The sequence below is a fragment of the Homo sapiens genome, chromosome 1 (assembly GCF_000001405.40).
Source record: "Homo sapiens chromosome 1, GRCh38.p14 Primary Assembly".
Taxonomy (NCBI): domain Eukaryota; kingdom Metazoa; phylum Chordata; class Mammalia; order Primates; family Hominidae; genus Homo; species Homo sapiens.
In genome coordinates this window covers 152,804,421-152,829,925 of record NC_000001.11, presented here as the reverse complement: position 1 = coordinate 152,829,925, position 25,505 = coordinate 152,804,421, and the positions used below count along the sequence as shown (strand labels likewise).

The 25,505-nt window shown below is 39.8% G+C and overlaps 3 protein-coding genes across 4 annotated transcripts; 1 reads left to right on the top strand and 2 right to left on the bottom strand.

The window, feature by feature from the left end:
* Nucleotides 1–1,828: 1,828 nt before the first annotated feature.
* On the bottom strand, nt 1,829–2,453 carry LCE1A (late cornified envelope 1A). Its single transcript, NM_178348.2, has one exon. It carries the CDS (start codon nt 2,451–2,453, stop codon nt 2,121–2,123), a length of 333 nt encoding a protein of 110 aa, NP_848125.1. The 3' UTR covers nt 1,829–2,120.
* A 14,364-nt stretch (nt 2,454–16,817) lies between these two features.
* Nucleotides 16,818–17,955, bottom strand: LCE1B (late cornified envelope 1B). The gene has a single exon (NM_178349.2). The coding sequence runs from the start codon at nt 17,477–17,479 to the stop codon at nt 17,123–17,125; it is 357 nt and encodes a 118-aa protein (NP_848126.1). The 5' UTR covers nt 17,480–17,955; the 3' UTR covers nt 16,818–17,122.
* Nucleotides 17,956–23,274: 5,319 nt separating this feature from the next.
* On the top strand, nt 23,275–25,094 carry LCE1C (late cornified envelope 1C). Of its 2 annotated transcripts, NM_001276331.2 has the most exons (3): nt 23,275–23,325; nt 24,428–24,491; nt 24,582–25,094. In NM_001276331.2, the coding sequence occupies exons 2-3, from the start codon at nt 24,448–24,450 to the stop codon at nt 24,802–24,804; spliced, it is 267 nt and encodes an 88-aa protein (NP_001263260.1). In that variant the 5' UTR covers nt 23,275–23,325; nt 24,428–24,447; the 3' UTR covers nt 24,805–25,094. The 2 variants fall into 2 exon arrangements, with proteins under 2 accessions (NP_001263260.1, NP_848128.1); NM_178351.4 differs by having other exon boundaries at nt 24,428–25,094.
* Nucleotides 25,095–25,505: the final 411 nt, after the last annotated feature.

Sequence of the window (25,505 nt, the reverse complement as noted above, 5' to 3'; positions counted from 1 at the left end):
AAAATTTACTAAATTTGATGAAAAACAATCTATTCATTTAACAAGATCAACAAACTCCAAGTATGAGATACACAAAAAGACTCACATCTAGAGACATCACTGTAAAAGTATTGGGGAAAAAAGGTGAAGAGTGACTCCTGAAAACAGTGAAAGAAAAATGACTCATCACTTACAAGGAAACCCCAATAATATTTATAGCTTATTTTTAATCAATGAAAGCCAGAGGCATTGGAATGGCATTTTCAAAATGCTGAGAAGAAAAACAAAAAACAAGAATCAAAACAAAACTGTCAACTAAAGCTACACACAAAGAACAGTGGAAGAGAATTGAGTGTCAAAAATAAACCATAAATTGATGGTTAACGATTTTTTGACAAGGGTGCCAAAAATTTGACTGTTTCACTGAGGAAACAATAGTCTTTCAACAAATAATGCTATGGCTACTGGAAAACCACAAGCAAAATAATAAAATTGACCCTTATCTTATAACATTAAAAACATTTAACTCAAAATGGATCAAAAACCGAACTGAGGGCCTAAAACAATAAAAGTTGTAGAAGAAAATATACAAGAAAATCTTTATGACCTTATGGGAAAACACAGTCTTGGCTTTCATGGAACTCTGGTCTGAGATGGCTATATAGCAGCTGCCCTTAGGGAGCACGCAGTCCAAGTTGGGGAGAGAGAAACCTGGACCTTAGCGTGTGTCTGATCCCAGCTGGAACATTATTTCCTTTCTGGGGAATGGTATCATCTGTCACTTTGGCCACCAGTCAGCTCCATACTTATTAATATGCTAGTTGAATTATTTGGAGGGGTCACCCAATATGTGCAGTGCTTGAGCTCCTTCTTGTTACTGAAGCCAAAAGGAATATATCCCTCATCTAGTCTCCTGGAATAGTCAAGAAGCAGGTATATGGCTGAGAATCAGTGTACTGGATGTCCCTTGGGTGACTGACCAAAGACACAGGGACATCTAGAGGTTGTATTAATCAGAGCATTTGTGAGGTGGACATCACATTATTCCTACATGTTCTTGCTGTCTGATCTGCCAGACACCAGGGGGTTTTCATGGATTAAAAAATAAGTGCAGGGTATTGCCCACTTATCCAGTTCATAGTAAAATTATTGAGGCATAATACACACAACATTAAATTAACAATTATTCAATCTCATGTAAAATTTGTAATTGAAAAAATATTGATGAAAAATCAGGACTTCTTCACAAAATATAGAGACGAAATATTTGACTGGAAAGATTGGACTTGGGACTCTGGGAGAGAAAAGAAAGACATTGATTTTTAACATACTGATTCCTTTTCTACGGATTTTTAAGTTTTTTCAGATCATATTTACCACATGTTCTATGCATACTTGTAGTTAGAATAGTCTAAGATTCATGGTCTGTTTGCAGGAAGTTTACATATAATTTTCTAATATTTTTTACTGAAAGAGAATGAAATTTGGGAGTGAGTGGGCAGTATTGTAAAGGGGAGGAGGGGTAGATGGATGAAAGGATGGGGTGCATATCTGTCTCCCTGCCACACCCTGGAGACCAAGTAGGACCCTGAAGAAGTCCAAAGCACAAGGCTCTGTGTTCCTGAAACACCAGGAAGATGGGCACAGGCAGAGCCACGTAGTGATTCCTCTGACATAAGGTGTCAAAGTAGGAGCCATAGAAGTTTTTCTCTCCCCTCCTCCATATCTTTAGCCATGCGACTAGCACATCTTGATTTCCAAAGCTTCCAGGCAGCAGGAAAGTAGAGAGCAGTGAAAAAAATATTGGAGACACAAACAGGCAAGGAACAGTCCACAATAAGTGGCAAGAAGATCTTTTGCTTTATTGTTTCACTTGAGGCTGCAGGAAATGAGCTGGAGAGTGAGTTTGTGGCTTGGGATCCCAGAGTAGACAACACAGTTGGTGTCAGGGGCAGCAGATAGGTTTGTGGGAGAAGAATCAAGTTTCTGGATCCCAGGGCAGAGGGATCCTCTAGGCCAGAGCTCAGAGCCTTCACGCGGGCATCTCAGCCACTCTTGCAGGCCCAGGAGGAGACAGGTGAGGAGGAAATGTTTGATCACTCATTTCACCCGAGTCTGCTCTTCTAGGTGCAGAGTCCGCTTCAGCAGCAGCCTCCAGAGTGCTGGCCGCTGTCCCCTCCACAGCAGCTGGAGCCTCCCGAGGGCTGGCTGCAGCAGCCAGAGCTCTGGAGTCTGTGACGGTGGGACCTGTGGCGCCTGTGGTGGCTCAGGCAGCAGCCACCTCCCCCAGAGCTGCAGCCGCCCCCAGAGCTGGAGCCACAGCAGCCTCCGGAGCTGACACTGCAGCAGGAAGAGACTGGAGGGCACTTAGGGGGACACTTTGGGGGGCACTTAGGAGTGGGGCACTTGGGAGGGCACTTGGGGGTGCACTTGGGAGGGGGCTGGCACTGCTGCTGGCTCTGCTGGCAGGACATCTCGGCGGTGGGTGTTCAGGAGCTGAAGGAGAGTCAAACAGCAAGTTACAGCCAGGCACAGAGGCCACCCTTATTGCCTTTTTACCATCATTTATTTTTGCTACATTTTTAAAACCTGTTCAAATAAGTCAGAGAGAAATTATCTCTAAAATTGTTTGTCAGATGCTTTCACAATGTGTTATAGGATCATCAGGATGTTTTTATAAAATAGAAATAGACTATCTTATTTTAACCCAGCAATATAATGAGGACATCTGTATTAACAAACTTGCCCAAAATTAATGTCCTTTAAGTGGAAAAGGCAATCTGACATTCACAGAATCTGACTGAAGTCTACCCTTCTGCACCACTTAGAATTCTGAAAATGTCCAATCTAGGAGCCAGTTTAAACCTGCAGTTCTGCTTTTTAAAAAATAAGCAAGAAGACCCTATCTCTAAAAAAAAATTAGCTGGGTATGGTGGCACGCACCTGTAGTCCCAACTACTTAGGAGGCTGAGGCTGGAGGATCGTTTGAGCCCAGGAGGCCAATGCTGCAGGGAGCCAAGGTCATGCCACTGCACTGCAGTCTGGGCAATAGAATGACACTTTGTCTCAAAAATAAATGAAATAAAATAATAAAATAAAAATAAAGATTCCCTTTTGTAGGAGCTTCCCAGATGGCTGTATTTGGTTGACACAAACACACAATATATTATAGTCAGAATTGCAAAGGGTCATCATATGAGCTGGCTATCCCAAATCATATTATAAATGGAGAAATGAGGTCTAAAGCTAATTGTAGCAAGCTGACACGTGACCCTAGATTTCCCGGTCTGGTGAATCCATGCCTAGTGAAGCTCCCTCTTAGAACCCACAGACTCCTCTATCTGCCACCCTGGCAACCATAAATTTCAACTTGTTACTTGCTGTTCAACACTGGAGCTTCTGATATACAGATGCCCAGGCACCACTCATGACTAACTCACTCCTGATGAAGGTGTAAGGGCCATGTATCTCTGTGTTTATCAAGCTCCAAATATGCTTCCTCTGGTCTCCGGTCTCCATTATTTAAGAACCACTATAATCCCAGTACAGGCTTCGGGGAAGAGACACAGTTGAGTTGCTAAGATCTACTCTCTGAAAGGAAAGTTTGTTTTAACTTATCTGGAATGGGAGACACTAAAAAAAATACAGAACTAATTTGGATTAGAGCATGAAGCATAGACATACAAATCATCCAGGTGCTTCCCATCTCTCCTGCCCCACAGCTTGAACTCCATCAGAATTTCTAGACATTCTCCACCTCTTCTAATCCAGCTACCCCTCCCCAACAAAGCCCTGCCCAGCCTTCCCTCCTGCCCTGGTCTGGGCATCCCTCTGTGGAACCCCTGCTCCTTTTCCCAGTGGACGCTTACCGAGGTCACAGGCAGCACAGGGTCCTTCAGCACCTCAGGAGGTGAATGGATGGGGTGCTCTGGCCACGAGCCCTTTTATCCTGGCCTGGGCTCTGCCTCCAGCTGTGAGACAGGGCCTGGGAATGAAAGGATCTGTCTCCTGACACCCACATGGGTCCTGTGACAAGGAGTGACTGGCAGCTCCACATCTGCCTTTCTCCACGGGGCTCAGGGGAGCTGTTCCTAGTGTGGAATATGACTTAGAAATGGGGTGGGAGTGAATTCCTACCACCACCTGGTACCTTATTCTCTTAGAGGTGCCTACCTCTCAGTTCTCGCTCTTGAAATGTGGTCCCCCAAATGTTCTCCTTCTTCCTCTAGCAATGTGAATTTATGAGCTCCAGGCATCCAGGTTTGAACAAAGAAACACAGAAGCCTCTTAGCTTTTTCACATGTGTCCCACCACTTAGCCACTGGGAGTTGTTTACGTGTGTGGGTGCCTGTGTGTGTGTGCCTGTGTGCATGTTTCTTTTTTTTTTTCTTTCTTTTTTTTTTTTTTTGAGACAGAGTCTCGCTCTGTTGCCCTGGCTGGAGTGCAGTGGCATGATCTCGGCTCACTGCGAGCTCTGCCTCCCAGGTCCACGCCATTCTTCTGCCTCAGCCTCCCAAGTAGCTGGGACATACACATATATGTATGTACATATATATGTATATACACATATATGTATGTACATATATATGTATATACACACACATTTATTTTTTGGTCAGGCATGAAGCCAGCATTTGCATAGCACTATAGAGTTTATGAATAGTTATTCCACATGACTTAGGCTATCAGCATAAGAACCTGGAGCATGCAGACATACATGCTGAGGATATGTCATCCTGCAGAGATCTGTACCTATGTTGCCTGAGTGTGACTCTTCTTTTCCTGCTCAGGTTGTTACAAAAGGCTTTGTTATAAGGGAGTGGTCAGGATATCAATACCTTGGCTCATAGGTAAGTCTTACTCAGAAGCAGACTCACTGATTCTTAGGATACTTGGCCTGAGGGATCACATGATCCATGCCTCTAGTGATGTGGTACTCAATATGTCAATCAGTCTGATTTAGATCTGGATGGTAAGTTGGCAGCAGGTTTGAAACCTCATAAAGGTTGGTCTGCTTGCCTTAATTGTATGATGTCAGTGACTTAAATTTCATAAAATTTTTATTAAGCAAGTGACTGGCTTTTTAGATCTTCTGTTATCAAGGCTTGGAAGCTGACATGGCTGAGATCTAGAATGCAGCTATGAGGCAAATCAAAAGTAAAGCATTATGTCCCACATTGTAAATTTATAGGAATGACTGCAATACTTTTTTTCTAATTGTTTCTATGTCCATCTGTAAACTGGTTATTAATTAACACATTTTTGGAAATGTTCAATTTTTAAAGAATCACTCGAACTTCATACTGAGTGGTATCGTACTTTATGCTTTGGAATCAGCACCTAGTATGTTAATGGGTTATTTTTTTCACCCATTAGATCCTTTTTTATAACATACATTATTAAATAACACTCTTAAAGTAGAAAAGGATAGTTCATTATTTCTTATGCCTGGTGGCTCCCAAAACCATGTTACAAAAGGAAAACGTGATGTTTATTTATTTCTGAATAAAAACTTCATGTGGAAAAGAGCAACATGTAAACACTCCTGAAAGAGAAGTGACCAATTGAGAGGAAATTACATCACATATCTCAGGAATAAGATTAACACTGTTGACATGCAAATATACTTTACAAAGTAATAAGAAAAAAATTCCATGAAAATAATGGACAAAAGAGATAAGCAGGCAACGCAAAATGTTAGATTTATAGTGAAAAATACATGTATAAAAATAATTGTCTTTTATTTTTCTCTATGGAATTTATGCATTCATATTAAATAGGCAAAGATTTAAAAATTTTACAAACGAAGGGTGGATATGGGAGGGAAAAGTTACTGTGGATGGAATACCTTTCTGAAAGGCAAACTGGTTATTGATTCATTCAGATATTATTTACTGGTGAGTTCAAATAATTAAAAATGTAGAATGTACATATATTTTGACCTAGAGATTCCAATTTTCAGGCTTTCGTTTTATGGAGATTGTTATAAAAATGTGAAAATCTAAATACTCAAAAGTGTTAACTATGGTATTGTAATAAGGTAAATTGGAAACGCTTACTACTAAGTACTTATTTTAATACTTAGGGTATTAAATTGTGAAAGAGGCATATAAAGGCACATGTGACAATAATTAAAATTATTTTGTGGTTCTACATTTAGGCATAAAAAGCTATTTCTTGACTGAAGCTGTTATGTTATAGAACACATATACACCAATAATCAGAAATTGTTATTTAAAAATAAAACCATAGATATCAGTAACAAAAATATGAGACATCTAAGAATAAATATCTCTAAAAGACGAATAAATGGAAAAATTACAACATTTTATTGAAACGCATTAAAGTAGACCATAATAGAAAGAAACATTGTCTTAAAAACGTCAATTTTCTGCAAGTCAACCTGTGGATTCCATGTAATTCTAATGAAAACCACAAGAGAGAGTTCAACAGAACTTAATGAGCTGATTCTACGACTCAAATCAAACAGCAAGAGGCCCAGAATAGACAGGATAACCATGAAGAAGAATACATGGGAACTTATCTCACAAAACACCAAGAATAATTATAAAGCAATTGTCGTTCAGACTGTGATTTATTGATTAAGGAACAATGTGACAGGTTATAAGAACTAAAAGTCATTCATTCATGTATGAACCCCTGAAATGTGTCAGAGGCAGGATTACAGAAAAGTGGGTTAGGAGTAATCAGTTCAGTAAATGATACCATACCAACTGTTTATTCATTTGGGCAATAAATAAATGCCTCTACTTCACACCATATAATTAAAATAAATTCCATAAATCAAAGATCTAATGTAGTAAACAAAACTTTAGAAATATATTTAAAATTTTCAAAAATGATTTAATAGAATAACCTTATGGACTTTTGATGGAAAAGATTTCCTAAATAATATACATGTGTTCACATCAGAGACAAACACATTACAAACAAACAAAAACCCTTGAGTTTGGTTATATTAAATTTTCTTTAACCAGAAAACATCACAAAAGATGAAAATACAGATTATGAAAAGATATTTGCAACACATATAATTGACAACAAATTAGTATCTAAATAAATAACCCTACAAATCAGTGAGAAGAAAGCAATGACCCAAAGGAAAAATGAGAAAAACACATGAAAATTGATTTCCAGAAGTGAAAACCTGAATAACCAATAACCAATATGTTTTTGAAAAAGCTTTTCAACCTTGCTAGGAATCAGAGAAAAGCAAGAAAAAACCATGATGGTATATAATTTCACATCTATCACCTTGGTAAGAGTGAAAAATTCTCACTATTTATTCTTCTCATTGATGTTGAATAACAGAAATTTTCATGTACTCTGATGGGAATGTACATTAGTACAACTTTTGAAGAGTAATTTGGCAATATTTAGTCAGGATGAAGGCAGATATACTGAATAACATGCTGATTCTTCTCATAAGTGTATGCCTTGGATGCAAAGGTTCCAAAGTATGTGTAAGAATGTTAAAAAGTAGCACTTTTTATAAAGTACAAAGTGAAAACAAGGTAAGTACCCAATTTCAGATGAATGCATAAGTAAAGTATGAATATTCTTACACTGGAATGCTATACAATAGTGAGAATAAATGAAAATGAAATTGAGTCATCTGTATCAACATAGATAAATGTCTCAAAGTCATGGAGTAGATCACTTTTAGAAAATTAAAAATACAAATTATAACTAATATAGAAATAAGTTATAAATAAAATATAGCTAAGTACAAATAAAGTATAGTTAAGTACAGAGGAATTGTTACATTTTTAACTTATAAATAAATTATAAGTTAAGGATAGATAAGCACAGGAAAGTATATGCATTGCACAGGAAGGAAAAACACAAAATACAGAATAATGAATATCTCTAGGTAGAAGGGATATATAAGGGGATGGTTTCAATCATATTTATGATTATTTATTTCTCAATATGAGTGGAAAATACATGCATGCAGTGTTTACCAGGAAATCCTTTTAAGTTTGTATCTGTGTAAAATATTTTATTTAAGAAATTTATACATATGTAAAATTTAACACATACTTATATAGTAAGGTATTACTCTATTATATTTCATATATATTAAAATATTTCAAAAAATTATTTTACTTAATTTTGTTTTCCTCTTCTCTAGCAAAATATTTAATTTAATATGCATGTATTTGTGCTTATTTTTCTTTATAATTTCTTTAATTGTTTTTATATTGAGAATGTTTTTCTCAATCCTGGGAGAAGATAAACATTTAGCTACAAGTACTTCTTTCTTTATAATTCGATTTCCTCAAAATATTTAATCCCATGGATTTTGTCTTGGCATCTAATACTAAATGAGGGTTTACGTTTTTTTTTCAGTTATCAAAATTCCCTAACTCCAGGTATTGAATAGCCATCTTTTCCCCATTGATAACCATCACCTGCATCATCATATTTTAATTCTTTGTGTATATATACATATATATAGAGAGAGATTTAATAGTATATATATGTATACATACATATGTGTATACATAGATACGTATATGTGTATATATACATACATATATGTGTGTGTGTATATATGTGTATATATATATATATATATATATACTATTACATTCTTTTTTTTTTTTTTAAATTTGCACCAGTCTCAAGGTTTGGGGTTTAATTATGTGAAAGTTACAGATAAGTATTTTATCAGAATGGGACTTGTGGTGGATAAGAAAAATCCTCTAGATTTCCGGCAAACAAAAGGAAGAAAGAGAATTTCCTAGGACTAGAAGCTTAGGATCCTGCCCTCTTTGTCCTTTCCCTGGGAGGAGCCTGCAGGTGAGTCCCTGATATGGGGGATATACAGAATGAGGACCCGACTCTTCCCTCAGGAAACATGGAGGAAATGAAACCAGTTTTGTCATCTAAGCAAAGATGAGTTTCTAGTTCCTCTGCAAGCATGGGTCAAATGATGCATGAGTGCTTTCTATGACCAGATGTTGATCACATTGTCAAGACCAACTGTTCTTAGCCATTTATCCACTGTCTAAGAGAAGATTCTGGAACCAAGGCTGAACTTCAAGAAATTCACCCTGGAGAGGCATCACTCACATCACAGATAGAGGGGAGACACTAAAATGCCCAAGAGTGGAGGAGTCAGAAATTGGATTCTGCTTCCTGGTTGCTCCAGTATCAGAAGGATATTGCGCCTACATGTCAGACTGAGCCTTTTCTTTGTTCTCCATTCAGAAAATACATTTAGAAAGCTGGAGAAGGACAGACATTAGGTGGGGAATGAGTAGAAGGACCAGGCTCCCTTTCTCTGGTATGGTGGGCCAGCCCACTGGAGCAGGGATATGGGCAAATATGCCATTCAGTCAAATTTGGGGCCGGGGAGAGTGGCTTGTGCCTGTAATCCCAGCACTTTGGCAGACCGAGGCAGGCAGACCTCTTGAGGCCAGGAGTTCGAGACCACCCTGGACAACAGGCAAAATCCTGTCTCTAAAAAAAAAAAAAAAATACAAAAATCAGCCTGGCATGGTGGTGTGCATCTGTAGTCCCAGTTACTCAGTAGGCTGAGGTGAGAGGATCACTTGAGCCTAGGAGGTTGAGGCTGCAGCGAGCCATGATTGCACCACTGCACTCCAGCCTGCACAACAAAGTGAGACTCTGTCTCAAAAAAAAAAAAAAAAAATCAATCAACCAACCAGTCAAATTTGGCGTTGATATTGTTTTTCTGACTGGATATTTCATTACTGAACTGAAACCAAGTTTGTAATTTTTTTGTTTTAGAAATGGGGTCTTGCTTTGTTGCCGCACCTGGTCTCAAACTCCTAGGTTCAAGTGATCCTCTCTCTCGGGCCTCCCGAAGTGCTGAGATTATAGGCAGGAGCCACTGCACTGGGCCCACGTTTGTGATTTCAAGTAACAAATCATTTTGCATTACTTTGAAAGAGCTGTAAAGTCAGTTGGCCTTTCAACTTGTCATTTAGGAAGGAAAACCATCCCACTGAGTAAAATTTTAAGGACAATTTTACTTTTAAAATTTTTAAATTTTTAAAAAGCTATAATTTTATTACATCCTCCAAGCTAAGCTTGCTCAATGTGAGGGTTGTAGACAGATTTTTTAACATCCACCAGCTTAAGAAAACACACAATCGGATAAGATTTCATAGAAGGATGACATTTGAGGTGAACCTTAAAAGAGGGACAGAATTACACAATGTCCAGATGGTGGGGAGAGATTTGGAGGAACTTCAGATAGAGGAAATAGCAAGTAATGCTGCTAATAGTAATAGTAAGTAATGATTACAGTAGTTAGTAGTGATACTAAGGGTAGCAGTAGTAGTAGTGGCAACACTTATAAAATATCAAGAGAAGCTACTCTTTATTGAAGACTTATAGTATTCTAGATACAGAGCTATGAATAGTAAATTCTACTTACAGCTTCTCAGAAAAAAAAGGATGAATATATACAAGTGTAAGTTATGAGTTGCTCAGTGCGGCAAGAACATGGGGTGTCATGGGAAGTATGAATGGTAAACCTTAGAAAAGAAGTTGGAAACAATTCCTGCTGAGTCTCAAATGTAATACTTAAGAAGCACATGCATTTTTCTATAGAAAGCCTCTGTTTTGAGGAAGTAGAGTGACAATTTCAGACATGTGGTATAGGGAATGTGTTCTGGAAAAAAGTGCAGAGAATTTAATGGAGATGGAAGAGGAAGAAAGAGACATTTAATGGAAGGTTAATACAAGTGCAATTTTTACACAAAGATATGCCTCGAACTAAACTGATTTCAGAAGTAGTTAGTGGGAAAACTGTATTTTCAAAATATATTTCTGTTTTTTGCTTTCTATTTTATTAATCTATTTTTCTTTTCTTTTTTCTTCCATATGCATGCATCCATGTGTGCATGCGTGCGTGTGCACCTGTACTTGTGTGGAAGTGTGTGTATTTGCATGTGATGTGTGTGTATGTGCATACATGTGTGAGGGAGGAAGGATGTTGGGTGGAGCTAGGTGAGGAGGAGAAGGTGGCGCTCACAGAGGGAGAGGAGCATGGAGAGACCAGTCAGGGCCTTGAAGGGGACCAGAGGCAAAGAAGCTGTGTTTACAAAAGACATTTCAGACTTGGTCACAAGCAATGCTGCTTCAGGCCAATTGACATAGGACAAACAGCGTTGGAAGTCCCTTCCCACTCCTGCCCTCATTGACCCCAATTCAAGCCAGTGTGTCCCACTGGCCCCTGAAGTTCCAAGGCCACCACCTGCAGAGGACAGGGTGAGGAGAACAATAGCTACTCAAGGAGAATAGGGGAAGGGGTATGTGCAGAGAGCTCTTTAAATGAGCAAAAAATGTAAGATATTTGTGTTCCATATGAATGTTTACTAAACAATAACCTTAGCAGAGACTTTAATAAATAAGTGGATAGGATAACCTATTCTGTGGATACCAGTCAGACTCTTTGCCCAGCCTCTCCTGTCATTTCCCAATGAGCTCATGAACAAAGTGGCCATGGTGGCAGGTAAGACAGTGAAGTTGTATTGCTGCCCTTGCCAGCTGAAAACAACCTGATTCTGGTAGTCATTACTAATAGGTAAGAAGAAAAAAAATCCAGATCAATAGCTGCATAATAGGGGATATGCTAATTTGCTCAAGGAAATACCACATCTAGTACATCTGTAAATGGAGTCACCCCCTGGCTAGGCTTGTAATAATTCAGTGTATTAGTCTGCTCGAGCTGTCATAACAAAATACTATAAATTAGGTGGCTTAAATAATAGAAATTTATTTCTAGTAGTTCTGGAGGTTGGGAAGCCACCAAGGTCAAGGTGCCAGTCGATTTGTTTTCTGATGAGAGCTCCTTTTCTGGCTTACAGATGGCTACCTTCTCATATCTACAACTATCTGATCTTTGACAATCCTGACAAAATAAGAAATGGGGAAAGGATTCCCTATTTAATAAATGGTGCTGGGAAAACTGGCTAGCCATATGCGGAAAGCTGAAACTGGATCCCTTGCTTACACCTTATACAAAAATTAATTCAAGGTGGATTAAAGACTTAAATGTTAGAGATTTTTTTTTTTTTTTTTTTTTTTGACAGAGTCTCTCTCTGTCACCCAGGCTGGAGTGCAGTGTCGCAATCTCGGCTCACTACAACCTCTGCCTTCCGGGTTCAAGCAATTCTCCTGCCTCAGCCTCCTGAGTAACTGGGATTACAGGTGTGTGCCACCATGCCTGGCTAAGTTTTTGCATTTTTAGTAGAGACGGGGTTTCATTGTGTTAGCCAGGATGGTCTTGATCTCCTGACATTGTGATCTGCCCACCTCGGCCTCCCAAAGTGCTAGGCTTACAGGCATGAGCCACCACGCCCGGCCAATCTAAGCTTTTTAGAGCTCTTCAAGGATGCTGAGCCTCGCCTCACAAACATATGTTTCACAATTGTGATGAAAGGTGAATCATTTGGACCTTCCACGGTGGGTGATTTGTCATTTCATGACAAATTCATTCTAATATTCCAATCTCCCTAATGCTCTGAATCTCTTCCTCTGCAGCAAAGCAAGGCAGGCCTGTCATTTCTAGGTCACACACACTAGGCCACCTTTCAGTCCATGTTTTGACCAGCCAACCAAACAAACTCTTAGGGCCTTTTCTTACTCCCCGAACTGTAACATTGCCTAGAATCTCTGCAATCAGTTCAGCCTCATCCAATCTTTTATTCTTTCCACAATTGTTCCACACTCTTAATATCCATTCCCACATGTATTCCCTAAATGTCTGTCTGTAAACACTGTAGTTCTTTTGGAGTGTAGTGCTCCCTTGTCATGGGTCACATGTTGTACCTCACCATTGGGGACCTGCTGGGACTTCACTCTAGAAGCAAAATGAGGTGATAGGGAGGGGTCCTGAGAAGAATCATCATTGTCTTTCAAGGCAACTGCCTCACAGGAGCCCATTACAGTTTTCTTAGGAAAATCAGGGTCAGCCTCCTCAAGTGGGTGTAGAAAGGCTGCTTCTACTGGCAAAGAAGACTCAACCAAACCAAACTCAGAGGTATAGTGTTTCCATGGTCATCAGGATTTTCTCATTGGTCCTCATTCCAATTTTCAGGGTCCCATTTCTTCTTCTTCTTCTTTTTTTTTTTTTTTTTTTGAGACAGAGTCTCACTCTGTCACCCAGGCTGGAGTGCAGTGGTGAGATCTTGGCTCACGGCAACCTCTGCCTCCTGGGTTCAAGTGTTTCTCCAGCCTCCGCCTCTAGAGTAGCTGGGATTACAGGCGTGTGCCACAATGCCAGGCTAATTTTCGTATTTTTTTTTTTTAGTAGAGACAGGGTCTCACTATGTTGTCCAGGCTGGTCTCGAACTCCTGACCTCAAGTGATCCACCGACCTCCGCCTCCCAAAGTGCTGGGATTACAGGCATGAGCTACTGTGCCAGGCCCCCATTTCTTCTTAATCAGTGGCCTCACTTTAACTGTAGACATGCTGAGAATTTGGAAATTTAATTGGCATTGTAATTCAGTCATTCACTGAAAAGATTTTGGGTTTAGTTTTTAGCAGTCTCAGCTCTGAGACTACAGAAGATAAGGGTTTCTTTCAGAATAGACATAGAAACTTTCAGGTTATTTATGTGCTGCATGGTTATTTATGTGGTGCACAAACTGAGGATTCAAATCCTGGACCTCATCATTTTCTTCTCCCATCTCACTTAACACAATGAGGAGAAACCAGCCAATCTCTTTATATTCATTAGTTTGACAAAAGTATTCACAGGTAGCAAATCCATAGCCACTCAAAACCTTGTCTCTTATAAGCATTTGATTAGAAACATCCAATAGTGATATTTTGCAAATCCCTATAGCCACATTTACTATCAGTGTTCTCTTCACTATGGGAAATAGGGTTCATTAGTGCATTTAAATCTAGTTAGGCTAGAAAACAAATTCCAGAAATCCCAGAACTCATTCAGAAAACTTGTCCTTAAGATTCTATTCCTTTAGATTCTGTTATGTTTTGGTAAAGTAAGTGTGAGCAAGAAAGAGAGAAAGAGGACTATTTTGCAGCATTGGTTCAAGTGACTATCAGGGATGGAAAAACCAAAATTTGTAAGGAAGGATGGCAGGATGCAGATTCAGGGGAGAGCTGATGTTGCAGTCTCAAGTCCAAAATCATTCTGAGGGCAGATTTTGTTTTAACTTTTTATTTTCAGTTTAGGGGTACAAGTGCAGGTTTGTTACATAGGTACACTTACGCCATGGGGGTTTGTTGTACATATTATTTCATCACCAAGGTACTAAGCCTAATACCCACTAGTTATTTTTCCTGATCCTCTCCCTTCTCCCACCCTCCACCCTCTGACAGGCCCTCTATGTGTCCACGTGTTCTCATCATTTAGCTCCCACTTATAAGTGAGAACATGCAGTGTTTGTTTTTCTGTTCCTGTGTTAGTTTGCTAAGGATAATGGCCTCCAGCTCCATCCATGTCCCTGCAAAGGACATGATCTCATCCTTTTTTACAGCTGCATAGTATTCCATGGTATATAGGCACCACATTTTCTTAATCCAGTCTATCATTGATGGACATTTAGGATGATTCCGTGTCTTTGCTATTGTGAGTAGTGTTGCAATGAACATACATGTGCATGTGTTTTTATAATGGAATAGTTTATGTTTCTTTGGGTATGTACATAGCAATGGGATGGCCGGGTTGAATGGTAATTGCTGGTCTTTGAGAAATTGCCACACTGTGTTCCACAATGGCAGAACTAATTTACACTCCCACCAAGAGTGTATAAGCATTCCTTGTTCCTGGAGGCAGAATATTTTTTCCGTCTCTGGATATCAGTCTTTTCTCTTAAGACCTTTGACTGATTGGTTGAGGCCTGCCCATATTATGGAGGGCAATCTGCTTTACTCAAACTCTGCTGATTTAAATATTAGTCGCATCTAAAAAAAAAACATGTTCACAACAACATTTAGACTGGTGAATGGTGCTAGAGCAAGATCTAGGAACCATAGCCTAGCCAAGTTGACACATAAAATTAACCATCACATATGTACATATTTTTGCAAATACAATGGCAAATAAAATTCAAAAAGGCTGGGCACAGTAGCTCACACCTGTAATCCTAGCACTTTGGGAGGCTGAGGTGGGTGGATCACCTGAGGTCAGGAGTTCGAGAACCGCCTGGCCAACATGGTGAAACCCCATCTCTACCAAAAATACAAAAATTAGCAGGGCATGGTGGCAGGTACCTGTAATCCCAGCCACTTGGGACGCTGAGGTGGGAGAATCGCTTGAACCCAGGGGGCTGAGGTTGCAGTGAGCCGAGATTGTGCCACTTCACTCCAGCCTGGGCAAAAGAGTGAAACTCCATTTAAAACAAGCAAACAAAAAAAATTTCAAAAAACATGTTCAACTTTACTGATATTCAAACAAATGCAAACAAAATAAAAAAGAAATATCTTGAATTTGAGAAAGGAGACTAACAGATTTATTTACTTATTTCAAAATGACAATTATTTTAATGACTAACAAAATAGTATGTGACAGTTGGTAATAAACATATTTTGAGATGGCAATGTGAATTGGCATAACAATTCTGGATAGCAATTTGATACTTATTGAGGTGTAATGAGTTTAAATTTATAATAAGCAAATCTTTTTACACAAAAACATTGTGTTATAGGAATTTACCTGAAAGTAGAGTTATAATGTAGGAGAGATAAATGGATAAGGATGGTCATCACAGGAAATTAGATATAATAAGAGTTCAACAAGAAGAAATTGTAATGGCCTTCCTTCAAGTAGTTGTGTTGCAGGACATTGCTGATTTTGCTCAGGACCCATCCTCACCACCTCTCTTTGCTTTACATATGTACATAGACTCAGGGTATGAGATAAATATATTTTAAAAAACTATACTCAACAATACCAGCAACACTATAATAATAATAACAGTTTTGTAAAAGAACATCAATTATACTAAAAAAGTTTTGGGAAAATGTTTGAAACAAAATAGATGTTTAGGCTGGGGGCTGTGGCTCACGTCTGTAATCCTAGCACTTTGGAAGGCTGAGGTGGGCAAATAACTTGAAGTCAGGAGTTCAAGACCAACCTGGCCAACATGGTGAAACCCCATCTCTACTAAAAATACAAAAAGTAGCTGGGCGTGGTGGCACACACCTGAAATCCCAGCTACCTGGGAGGCTGAGGCAGTAGAAATGCTTCAACCCAGGAAGTGGTTGTTGCAATGAGCCGAGATGGTGCCACTGCACTGCAGCCTGAGCGACAGTGAGACTCCAACTCAAAAAAGAAGTTTAACTATTCTCTCCTTCATAAGTTTTTAATTCAAAGGAATAAATATTAAATTTGCAATAGAGAAAGCTGGCAGATCAAGTGGTCAAAGTTGTATCTCCAGGAATGGGACAATTAGACATCATGTAAGGCTTGATATCATGCTCTAAGGACAACATCACTTTTGTAGGATATTTGCAAAAATGTGTAATCTGAGCCTGGTCAAGAAGAAACATCAGAGAAACCCAAATTGAGGGGCATTCTACAAAACCAATAGTTCTTTAAAAAGGTCAATGTCAAGGAAGACAAAGAAAGACTGAAGAGCCATTTCGGTTTGGAGGAGACTGAAGAATCATGGCAACTATGTCAAGGCAATGGAGATCCTGGATTGGATTTTGAACCAACAAAATTGTCTTTTGTTATAAAGGATATTAGTAGGAAGATTGGCTAAATTTGAACAAGGTCTGTAGATACTAACATCTTGGGAGAGCCTGGAGATGAGGACAGAGTATGAAAAGCAATGAAAAAATAACAATCAGTCAAGGCAAAAAGGAATGCATATTTCTGGTTTTATTGTTTCACATCAGGCTGAGCTATGCAAAAAGACAAGCTGCAAAGGGATATAGGTCTGTGCTTTGGGCTTCCCAGAGCAACCACACATACGCAAACTGAGGTCATTAAATGGCTTGGCTTTGGGGGAGAAGTTTTGGGCCTCTGAACTCCAAGACAGAAGAATCCTCTATGCTTGAGTTGAGCCCTCACCAAGACCTCTCAACAACATGGGCAGGCCCAGAAGGAGAAGGAAGACGGAAGGGAAATATTTGGCCATTTGTGTTCTTCTAGGCTCAGGATCCACTTTAGCAGCAGCCTCCAGAGTGCTGGCCACTCCCTCCTCCACAGCAGCTGGAGCCCCCGGAGGGCTGGCTGCAGCAGCCAGAGCTCTGGGGTCTGTGGCAGTGGGACCTACGGCGCCTGTGGTGGCTCAGGCAGCAGCCACCTCCCCCAGAACTGCAGCAACCCCCAGAGCTGGAGCCACAGCTTCCCCCAGAGCTGGAGCCACAGCAGCCTCCGGAGCTGACACTGCAGCAGGAAGAGACTGGAGGACACTTAGGGGGACACTTTGGGGGGCATCTAGGGGTGAGGCACTTGGGAGGGCACTTGGGGATGCACTTGGGAGGGGGCTGGCACTGCTGCTGGTTCTGCTGGCAGGACATCTTGGTGCGGGTGTTCAGGAGCTGAGAGAGAGTCAGACAGCAAGTTAGACCCAGGTAGAGGCCACCCCGGCCTATTCTTGCCCTTTCAGCATCATTTCTAATCCCTACATTTTGATGAACTGCTTAGTGTAGTTGTAGCTAATTAATCACGGGAAGTTTCATTGTGTCTAATAGTTGGCTAAACACACTTATAGCCTCTGTTTTGAACCTAATGCTTTTTATATACTTATAAAATCATAAAGCATTTTCAACTATTTTATAATTAGAAAACCGAAGCCAAAAGATATTAAGAAAGTATTCTCAAAATCAAGCATGTAGTATGTAGAGGAGACATTCTGCTTCAACTACACACCTGAATCATGAAAACAATCTAGAAAGGGGTTTGGAAATAAAATTGTTTCTCAAGGGGAAACAGTCATTCTCTCTTGGAAGAATTTTCTAGATTACCTTGTTGTAAGGACATAGAAGTTCAGAACTGCAAAGGAAGTTGGAGGAAAAATATCATTGAATTAAGTGAGAATTGTATACAGGTTTCTGACTTAGTCCAGTGCTCTGACATTTTTCAGCAGACAAACACCTGTACTGAATGCTCAGCACTTATATTTTGTTTGTCTACCGTACTTGTCTCACCAAGTTAAATACCATTAAATGTGAGTTTAAGAGAGTCGGTTAGCTGTGATATCCTCTACACTGGCTGGGAACCACTGTTTCCATCTCATCTTTTCAGGAAAGGACAATTATATTTTTCAAGGTAAATCTCCCTTTCTGAAAGCAGTTACAGGTGAACATGGCAGGCAATGTTGCAATGCCTTCAGACTAGAGACCCAAGAACTCTAGATCCATCTCATTTCTCCAGAACACCAAGTCACCATCACAGGACTCCTCATTCTCATGTCCCTGGTCTGTCCCCATTGCCTTTGCTCAGTTTTCTTGAGGCTCCCTCCTTCACTCATATGGATACCAGCACCACCCCAGCCCTGGAGGCTCTGCCTGCCCTCCCCTCCTGCCCTGATCTAGGCATCCCTTTGTGGAAGCCCCTGCTTCAGTACCCAGGGAACACTTACTGAGGTCACAAGCAGCACAGGAGGTGAGTGGTTGGAGTGCTCTGGCCCTGAGCCCTTTTATCCTGTCCTTTGGGCTCTTCCTCCAGCAGTGAGACAGGGCCTGGGCATGAGAGGACTTGCCTCCTGACACCCACATAGGTCCCGTGACAGGTGGTAACTGGCAGCTCTGCACATGTCTGCCTTCGTGGGTATTCAGGAGAGCTGCTGCCAGTATGGAATATGGCCACTTAGAAATAGAGGTGGGGTGGGGAAATCCCTACCATCATCTCCTGCCTTGATCTGCCTGAAGGGCACCTGCTTTTAAGGTTCTCACTTCTCATTCTTGGAGCTTTGAAGTTTTGGCCCTAATACTGCCCTTCTTGCCTCCCCGGTGTTAATGAGCCCATGCAACCTGGTTCAAACCAAATTGTAATATATTCCTTCCAATTTTATTCTGTACAGGTTACCCTGATACAATATACACTATGGATTACATGGTTTTAACTCTATAGAAATGGCATCATACTTAAGACACTCATTTTTGACTTGTTCTCTTCCTTAAACATTGTTTTTGCTAGTTACTCAAGTTGATCTGTATAGCCATAGTTTACTCATTTTTACAACGGTGTAGTATCCATCTTATGAGTGCATCATGATTTGTTAGCTTCTCTCTTTTGGATAGACATTTAGAGTGTTTTCACTTTTCACTGAATCAATATTGCAGCTAAGGAAATTTTTGTGCGTGTCTACTTGTGTATTTGTGGGAGAGTCTCACCAAGTTATGTACCTATAAGTGGAACTGTTGAATTTTGGATCACACCCATCTCTCCAAATTGCTCATACTGATTTCAGTTTGCACCTATGGTGTATAAGAATCATTCTTGCTGCACATTGTTCCTAAACTTCAATAATTGCCATTCGATGGATGTGCACTGGTATCTGTCGGTAGTTTAATATGTGTTCCTCTGCTTTGTAGTGATCACAGCATCTTTTAATGTATTTTTGGTTAATTGAGGTTTCCCTTCTGTGACTTGTCTGCTTTTTCTCGAAAATGTTTTTCAATTTGTTTATCTCCTTTTGTTAGTATTTGTAAATGTTCTTTACATATTCTAGTTACTAATGTACTGCTATTAAATGTGTTGTGAATATCTTTTCCAAACAAATATGTTCTTGTTTGCATTTTAATGGTGTCATTTGATGAACTAGTGTTTTATTTTTAACATAGTTGAATTTCTGCAACAATAACTATATTGTTTGCAATTTTCATGATTTTAATAAATCTCAACCATTTGTAAGTTTAGAAATCTTTTCCCTATCTTTAAAAAGTTGAAAATTTTTTCTTTTTAAAAATGAAGGTTTTTATTCAATCAAGAAAGGAATTTTTGTACATTTTATATATTTTAAACATTTTTCTGAATGGATAACCAATTGTCTTAGTATTGTAATCAAATTTTCCATTTTCCCCCACTCATCTGAAATACCTATGGGTCAGAATCAATTTTTCACATTTCCGTAGATTTATAATTGGGTGAACAATTCTTGTCATTGCCAATTTGTCAACACCTCTGAGAACATCCTGCTGCCTTAATTACCATAGGTGTATAATCAATTGCGGTATCTAAATCACACAGGTTTCATCATTCCTTAAGATTGTCTTGGTGATTATTAAACCTTTGTCATTTTATATAAACATTAGAGCCAGTTTGTCACATCCTACACAATGAAGATGAAGCAAAACAAATCATTATTAGAATTTTGATGAAAACATCATTGAGAATATGCATTAATTTATGAAGAATTATTTTATTTTATTATAATTTTTTTCTACTCACCCATAAATATGGTATATCTCTTTATTATGGTATTCTGTAATGCTGTTTAATAGTCTTCTCATTTTATCAAATATATTTTACATTAAAATTGTATTTTAGACTTTATGTATTTTTGCTATTTTAAATGGCAATTTTAAAAATTATATTTTTGAATTATTTGTTGCTGGTTAATGTAAATTTATTCTTACATCTTGCAACTTTTCGAACTCTTAATATTATTTTAATTTCTATAGTAATCATTCTTGTCTATATATCTTCTTTCTTAAAGTTTTTTCTCCTTAAGTTAAATTCTTGAAAGTACAACTGTTGGATAAAAAGTATGCACATTTAAAATTTTGATTTGTATACAGAAAATTATTATTTGTTGAGTAATGGGTCACCAAATGTCATCTTAATTTTCATTATTATGCCAATTTATAAGATCCATTTCCTATCACCTTCAGTAATACTGTTTTGTTATTGATTTTAAGTTTCTTCTAGTTCAATATAAAGGAATATCTTCTAATCCTTATCATCCTTGAAATGGACGGGCTGTGCTTCTAGATCAGAACTACTAATGTAAGCTGAGTAACCAATGTCTTCACTACTCTCGTATTAAATACATTGTTTGGAACAACATGAGCCACAGCCAGGCAATTCAGTGGCAGACTCAGACCTCATCCTTGAAAGACCATCCTTGTTTTATATACTAGTCTTTGGTTATTTGTATATGCAAATATGAAATAACAAATTTCAAAATGTATTGGTCATGTATTTCTTTCCAAGCTATCTGTTTGTTCATGCACTTTGCCCATTCATTTGTAGATAGGCTTATTTCTTTTCTATAAAGTTGTAAGGACTTACTATTTATCATAGATTTTAATACTATTCCTGACTTACATACTTTACTTTTTCTCAGCTGGTTATTTATATTTTTCATCCTTTAAAATTGTGCTTTCTGACATATAGTATTCCTTTCACTATGTGATGAGATTTATCAAGTTTTTTCATGCTTAAATATTTTATCCAATTACTTATAAAGAAATAATTAGATAGTCTGTATATTCTTCTAATAATTTTGGAGTATCAGTTTATTGTTACTGCTCTATGCAGGGGTTGCAGAGGAAGGAAGCAAATTAAAAATCAGTCATGTGTGGTGCTGGCTCTGGGACACAGAGTAAAATCCACTAAGTCTAAGTTAATTTTTACTGTGTCTCAGCATTCTTCCCACCAATCTCTTGTGATATGAGAGCCTGACAACATAGAAATGTATTTTCAGAAAATCACTCCTTTGCTAGTGCATATTGTTAGCATTAAAATGGTACCAAATTCAATAAATTTCAAATGCTATTGAAATCTAACACCAAACATAAGGAAACAATCCTCATGATGTTACATCATATTGCTACCTTATTAACCCAATCCATGTCAGATTAATTGACAGTTTGGGTGCTACCCTTTGTGGTATCAGAGTCATGGACAGAATAGCTTCTAATCCTCATCATCCTTGGAATGAATGGGCTGGGCTTCTGGATCAGAACTGCCAATGTAAGCTGAGTAATCAATATCTTGACTACTCTATTATTAAATACATTCTTTGGAACAACATGAGCCATAGCCAGGTAATTCAGTGGCAGACTTCTGCAGGGTGATAAGGCTAGTATACTGTAATGTAAATGTCTCAGAGTGAGAATTCCAATGATGATGGCTTAAGTCATACACAAAGTAAAGATGATGCTAATAGTAATCAATTCATTTTTAAATTGCTTACCTATGGAGTCCACCTCTGTTGTAGAAACTGTTGAGGGGTACATAAATATAAGAACAAAGCTGCAGAATCAAGGATAGTTTACTGTAGTCATATTTGAAAATTAAGACTCATAAAGAAGTTACAGTTGAATGGCACTGTTTTAGAAATGCATAGGTCACGGAATAAAGCCTGGATGTTGAAGAAGGAGCGTTATCCAAATGAATATAAATTGTTCTATCATAATGACATATGAATGTGTATGTTCACTCCAGCACTATTCACAATAGCAAAGACATGGAATCAACCCAAATACCCATCAATGGTAGACTAGATAAAGAAAATGTGGTACACATATACCATGGAATAGTATGCAGCCATAAAAAAGAATAAGATCATGTCCTTTGAAGAAACATGGATGGAGCTGGAGGCTATTATCTCTCCTTAGAAAGCAGCTATAATTTAAAAATATTAATGCATTGGCATTTGTTTAGAGAAAATGACATGTTATAAGCTCTCCACCAGAAACTTCCTTTGCATTATTTCATTGACTCTCAGCCATCCCTGGACAATTGTTTTTATATTATCTCTATTACAGAGTTGACAAACTGAGAACAAGAACGATGAGGTATTAATGCTTTTCATAAGGTCATGCAGGTAATAAGTGGCAGAATCAGGTTTCTCTCTATGTCTGACTCTTTAACCAGTTACCTAATGGCTTTAATACAGAAGCACACGCACACACACACACACACACACACACACACTCTCTCTCTCTCTCTCACACTCACACACACACACACACACAACTATAAGATAGTTGAGGGTTGGAGGATTCTATGAAACTTGAGTTAAGCCAGGTTGCCCAGAGCCACAGAGGTAAGATTTGGGAGTTAACAAAACAGAGAACTCAAGCTCCAAGACTAAACAGATTAGGTATTCTCCACGGAGAACAACACAGGAAATGATGGTAGGGATTTTCCCACTCCATTTCTATTTCTAAGTGGCCATAGTCCAAGCTGGGAGCAGCTTTTCTGAGCCCCATGGAGGAAGGCAAGTGAGGAGCTGCCAGTCACCACCCACCTCAGAACCCATGTGGGTGTCAGAAGGCAGGTCCTCTCATGCCCAGGCCCTGTCTCACAGCTGGAGGCAGAGCCCAGGCCAGGATAAAAGGGCTCTGGGCCTGAGCACTCCATCCACTCACCTCCCGAGGTGCTGAAGGACCCTGTGCTGCCTGTGACCCCGGTAAGTGTTCTTTGAGAATAGTTGCTGGGGCTTCCACAGAGTGTTGCTCAGCCCTAGGCAGGAGGGGAGGCTGGGCAGGACCTTGAGGGCTGAGATCCATCTGGATAGAAGTCAAGACCTCAGAAAGATTGAAGGAGGATGTGCTCAGGAGGCAGGGAGAGGGCCAACTGGTAACACAAATAAGAATTAGATGTCTCTGTCTTTGTGCTTCAGCTAGTTGAGTTTTAAGGACAGAGGGAGTTGAAGCCCAGGCAAATAGACTCTGCTAGAACAACTTCAAATAGGACACTTACTTTTCAGAGCAAAACTGTGACACTCCTTGCAAATTTGAGCTGGAGATAGTAGTTCTCAATCAGTGGAGTAGAGATAATTAATGGATCTTTTAGGGCTTTTTGAAACTCACTTATCTCTAGATTCAAATTGGAATTGAGAATCTCTTAAAGTAGTTAGACATAGCAAGCTGAGGATCACTGTGCCAACATGTTACTGTGAGGCCGTTGCGTGATGAATATGGCAGTGCACCAGCCTAGAGCCAGGGCACCTGAGTTCAGATCCCCTCTATGCACCAAAAATACTGTTCTCCAGCATCTTCCTTAACAAAGGGAGCCTGTGAGACCAGCCTGTCTCCAAAACCATTTACAATTGTACATGCGCAGGTTTTTACAAGACAAAGTCTCCTAGGAAGTTACTCCAAGAGATAATCCTTCATTATCTTTTTCCAAGAAAATGTTTATATCCCCAGGTTTCCACACTGGACAGTTTCAGGGTTTTATTTGACACAATGAGAAAAACTGCTTCCTTTAATTTACTAAATGTTTAATCTTGACAGATATTTTTTCATATGGCTTACTGCCTCAGTTTCCTTCTTTGTAAAAGATATAGTAATTCTTGACTGTCTTAAGATGAAATTGTGAACTCAAAAGATACAGTGTGAGAGCATTTGCCAAACTACAAGAAACAACAAAATTTTCAGTGATTAATGATTTACCATGACATTTGAACAGTTCATCAAAATAAAGGAAATAGAAACAATGTGGAAAGGACAAGAATAGGCAGGGGTGGCCTCTGCCTAGGTCTGACTTGCTGTTTGACTCTCTTTCAGCTCCTGAATCCGCCACCAAGATGTCCTGCCAGCAGAGCCAGCAGCAGTGCCAGCCCCCTCCCAAGTGCACCCCCAAGTGCCCTCCCAAGTGCCCCACCCCAAAGTGTCCCCCAAAGTGTCCCCCTAAGTGCCCTCCTGTCTCTTCCTGCTGCAGTGTCAGCTCCGGAGGCTGCTGTGGCTCCAGCTCTGGGGGCAGCTGTGGCTCCAGCTCTGGGGGATGCTGCAGTTCTGGGGGAGGTGGCTGCTGCCTGAGCCACCACAGGCGCCGTAGGTCCCACTGCCACAGACCCCAGAGCTCTGGCTGCTGCAGCCAGCCCTCGGGGGGCTCCAGCTGCTGTGGCGGGGGGAGTGGCCAGCACTCTGGAGGCTGCTGCTGAAGTGGACCCTGAGCCTAGAAGAGCAGAATCCAGGACCGCAAACTGCCAAGGACATCCCCCTTCTCCTACTAGGCCTGCCTGAGAGGCTCACAGGTCCAAGGGAAAGCTCTGAACTTGCCAAGAGCATATCTTTTCCCTGGAGTCCAGAAACTCAGATCCTCTCCTGGATCTCCATTCACTGGCCTTGGACCTCACCTTTGTGGCTACCCTCCCACGCTCTGTCTAAGCCCCTAGCTTACTCAATGTCATTTGCAGCGTGCATCTGCTGATTAAAGGACTAAAACAAGGAATCTGCTCAGTGTCTTGTTCTATGAGGACCCTATTCTCCTTGAGTGGCTCTTGTTCTCTTCACCTTGTCCTCTGCAGTTGGTGGCCTTGGAACCTCAGGGGACAGTGGGGCACTCTGGAGTGAATTGGGGTTAATGGGGGCAGGAGTGGGAAGGGACCATTGCTCCCAACTCTGTCTGTCCTATGTCAACTGGCCTGAAGCAGCATTGCTTCTGACCAAGTCTGAACTGTCTCTTATAAACATAGCTTCTTTGTTTCTGGTCCCTTTCAAGGGCTTGACCAGTCTCTCCAAGCTTCTCTTTCTCTGTGAGTGCAGTCTGCTCCTCCTGACCTAGCCCCACCAATATCCTTCCTCCCTCACACACATCACATGCAAAAACACACACTTCTGCACATCTCCAGGTGCACACACA

Bases quoted from the DNA above. Each gene is read 5' to 3' on its own strand.
- LCE1A (NM_178348.2), bottom strand. From the start codon at position 2,453: ATGTCCTGCCAGCAGAGCCAGCAGCAGTGCCAGCCCCCTCCCAAGTGC.
- LCE1B (NM_178349.2), bottom strand. From the start codon at position 17,479: ATGTCCTGCCAGCAGAACCAGCAGCAGTGCCAGCCCCCTCCCAAGTGC.
- LCE1C (NM_178351.4), top strand. From the start codon at position 24,448: ATGTCCTGCCAGCAGAGCCAGCAGCAGTGCCAGCCCCCTCCCAAGTGC.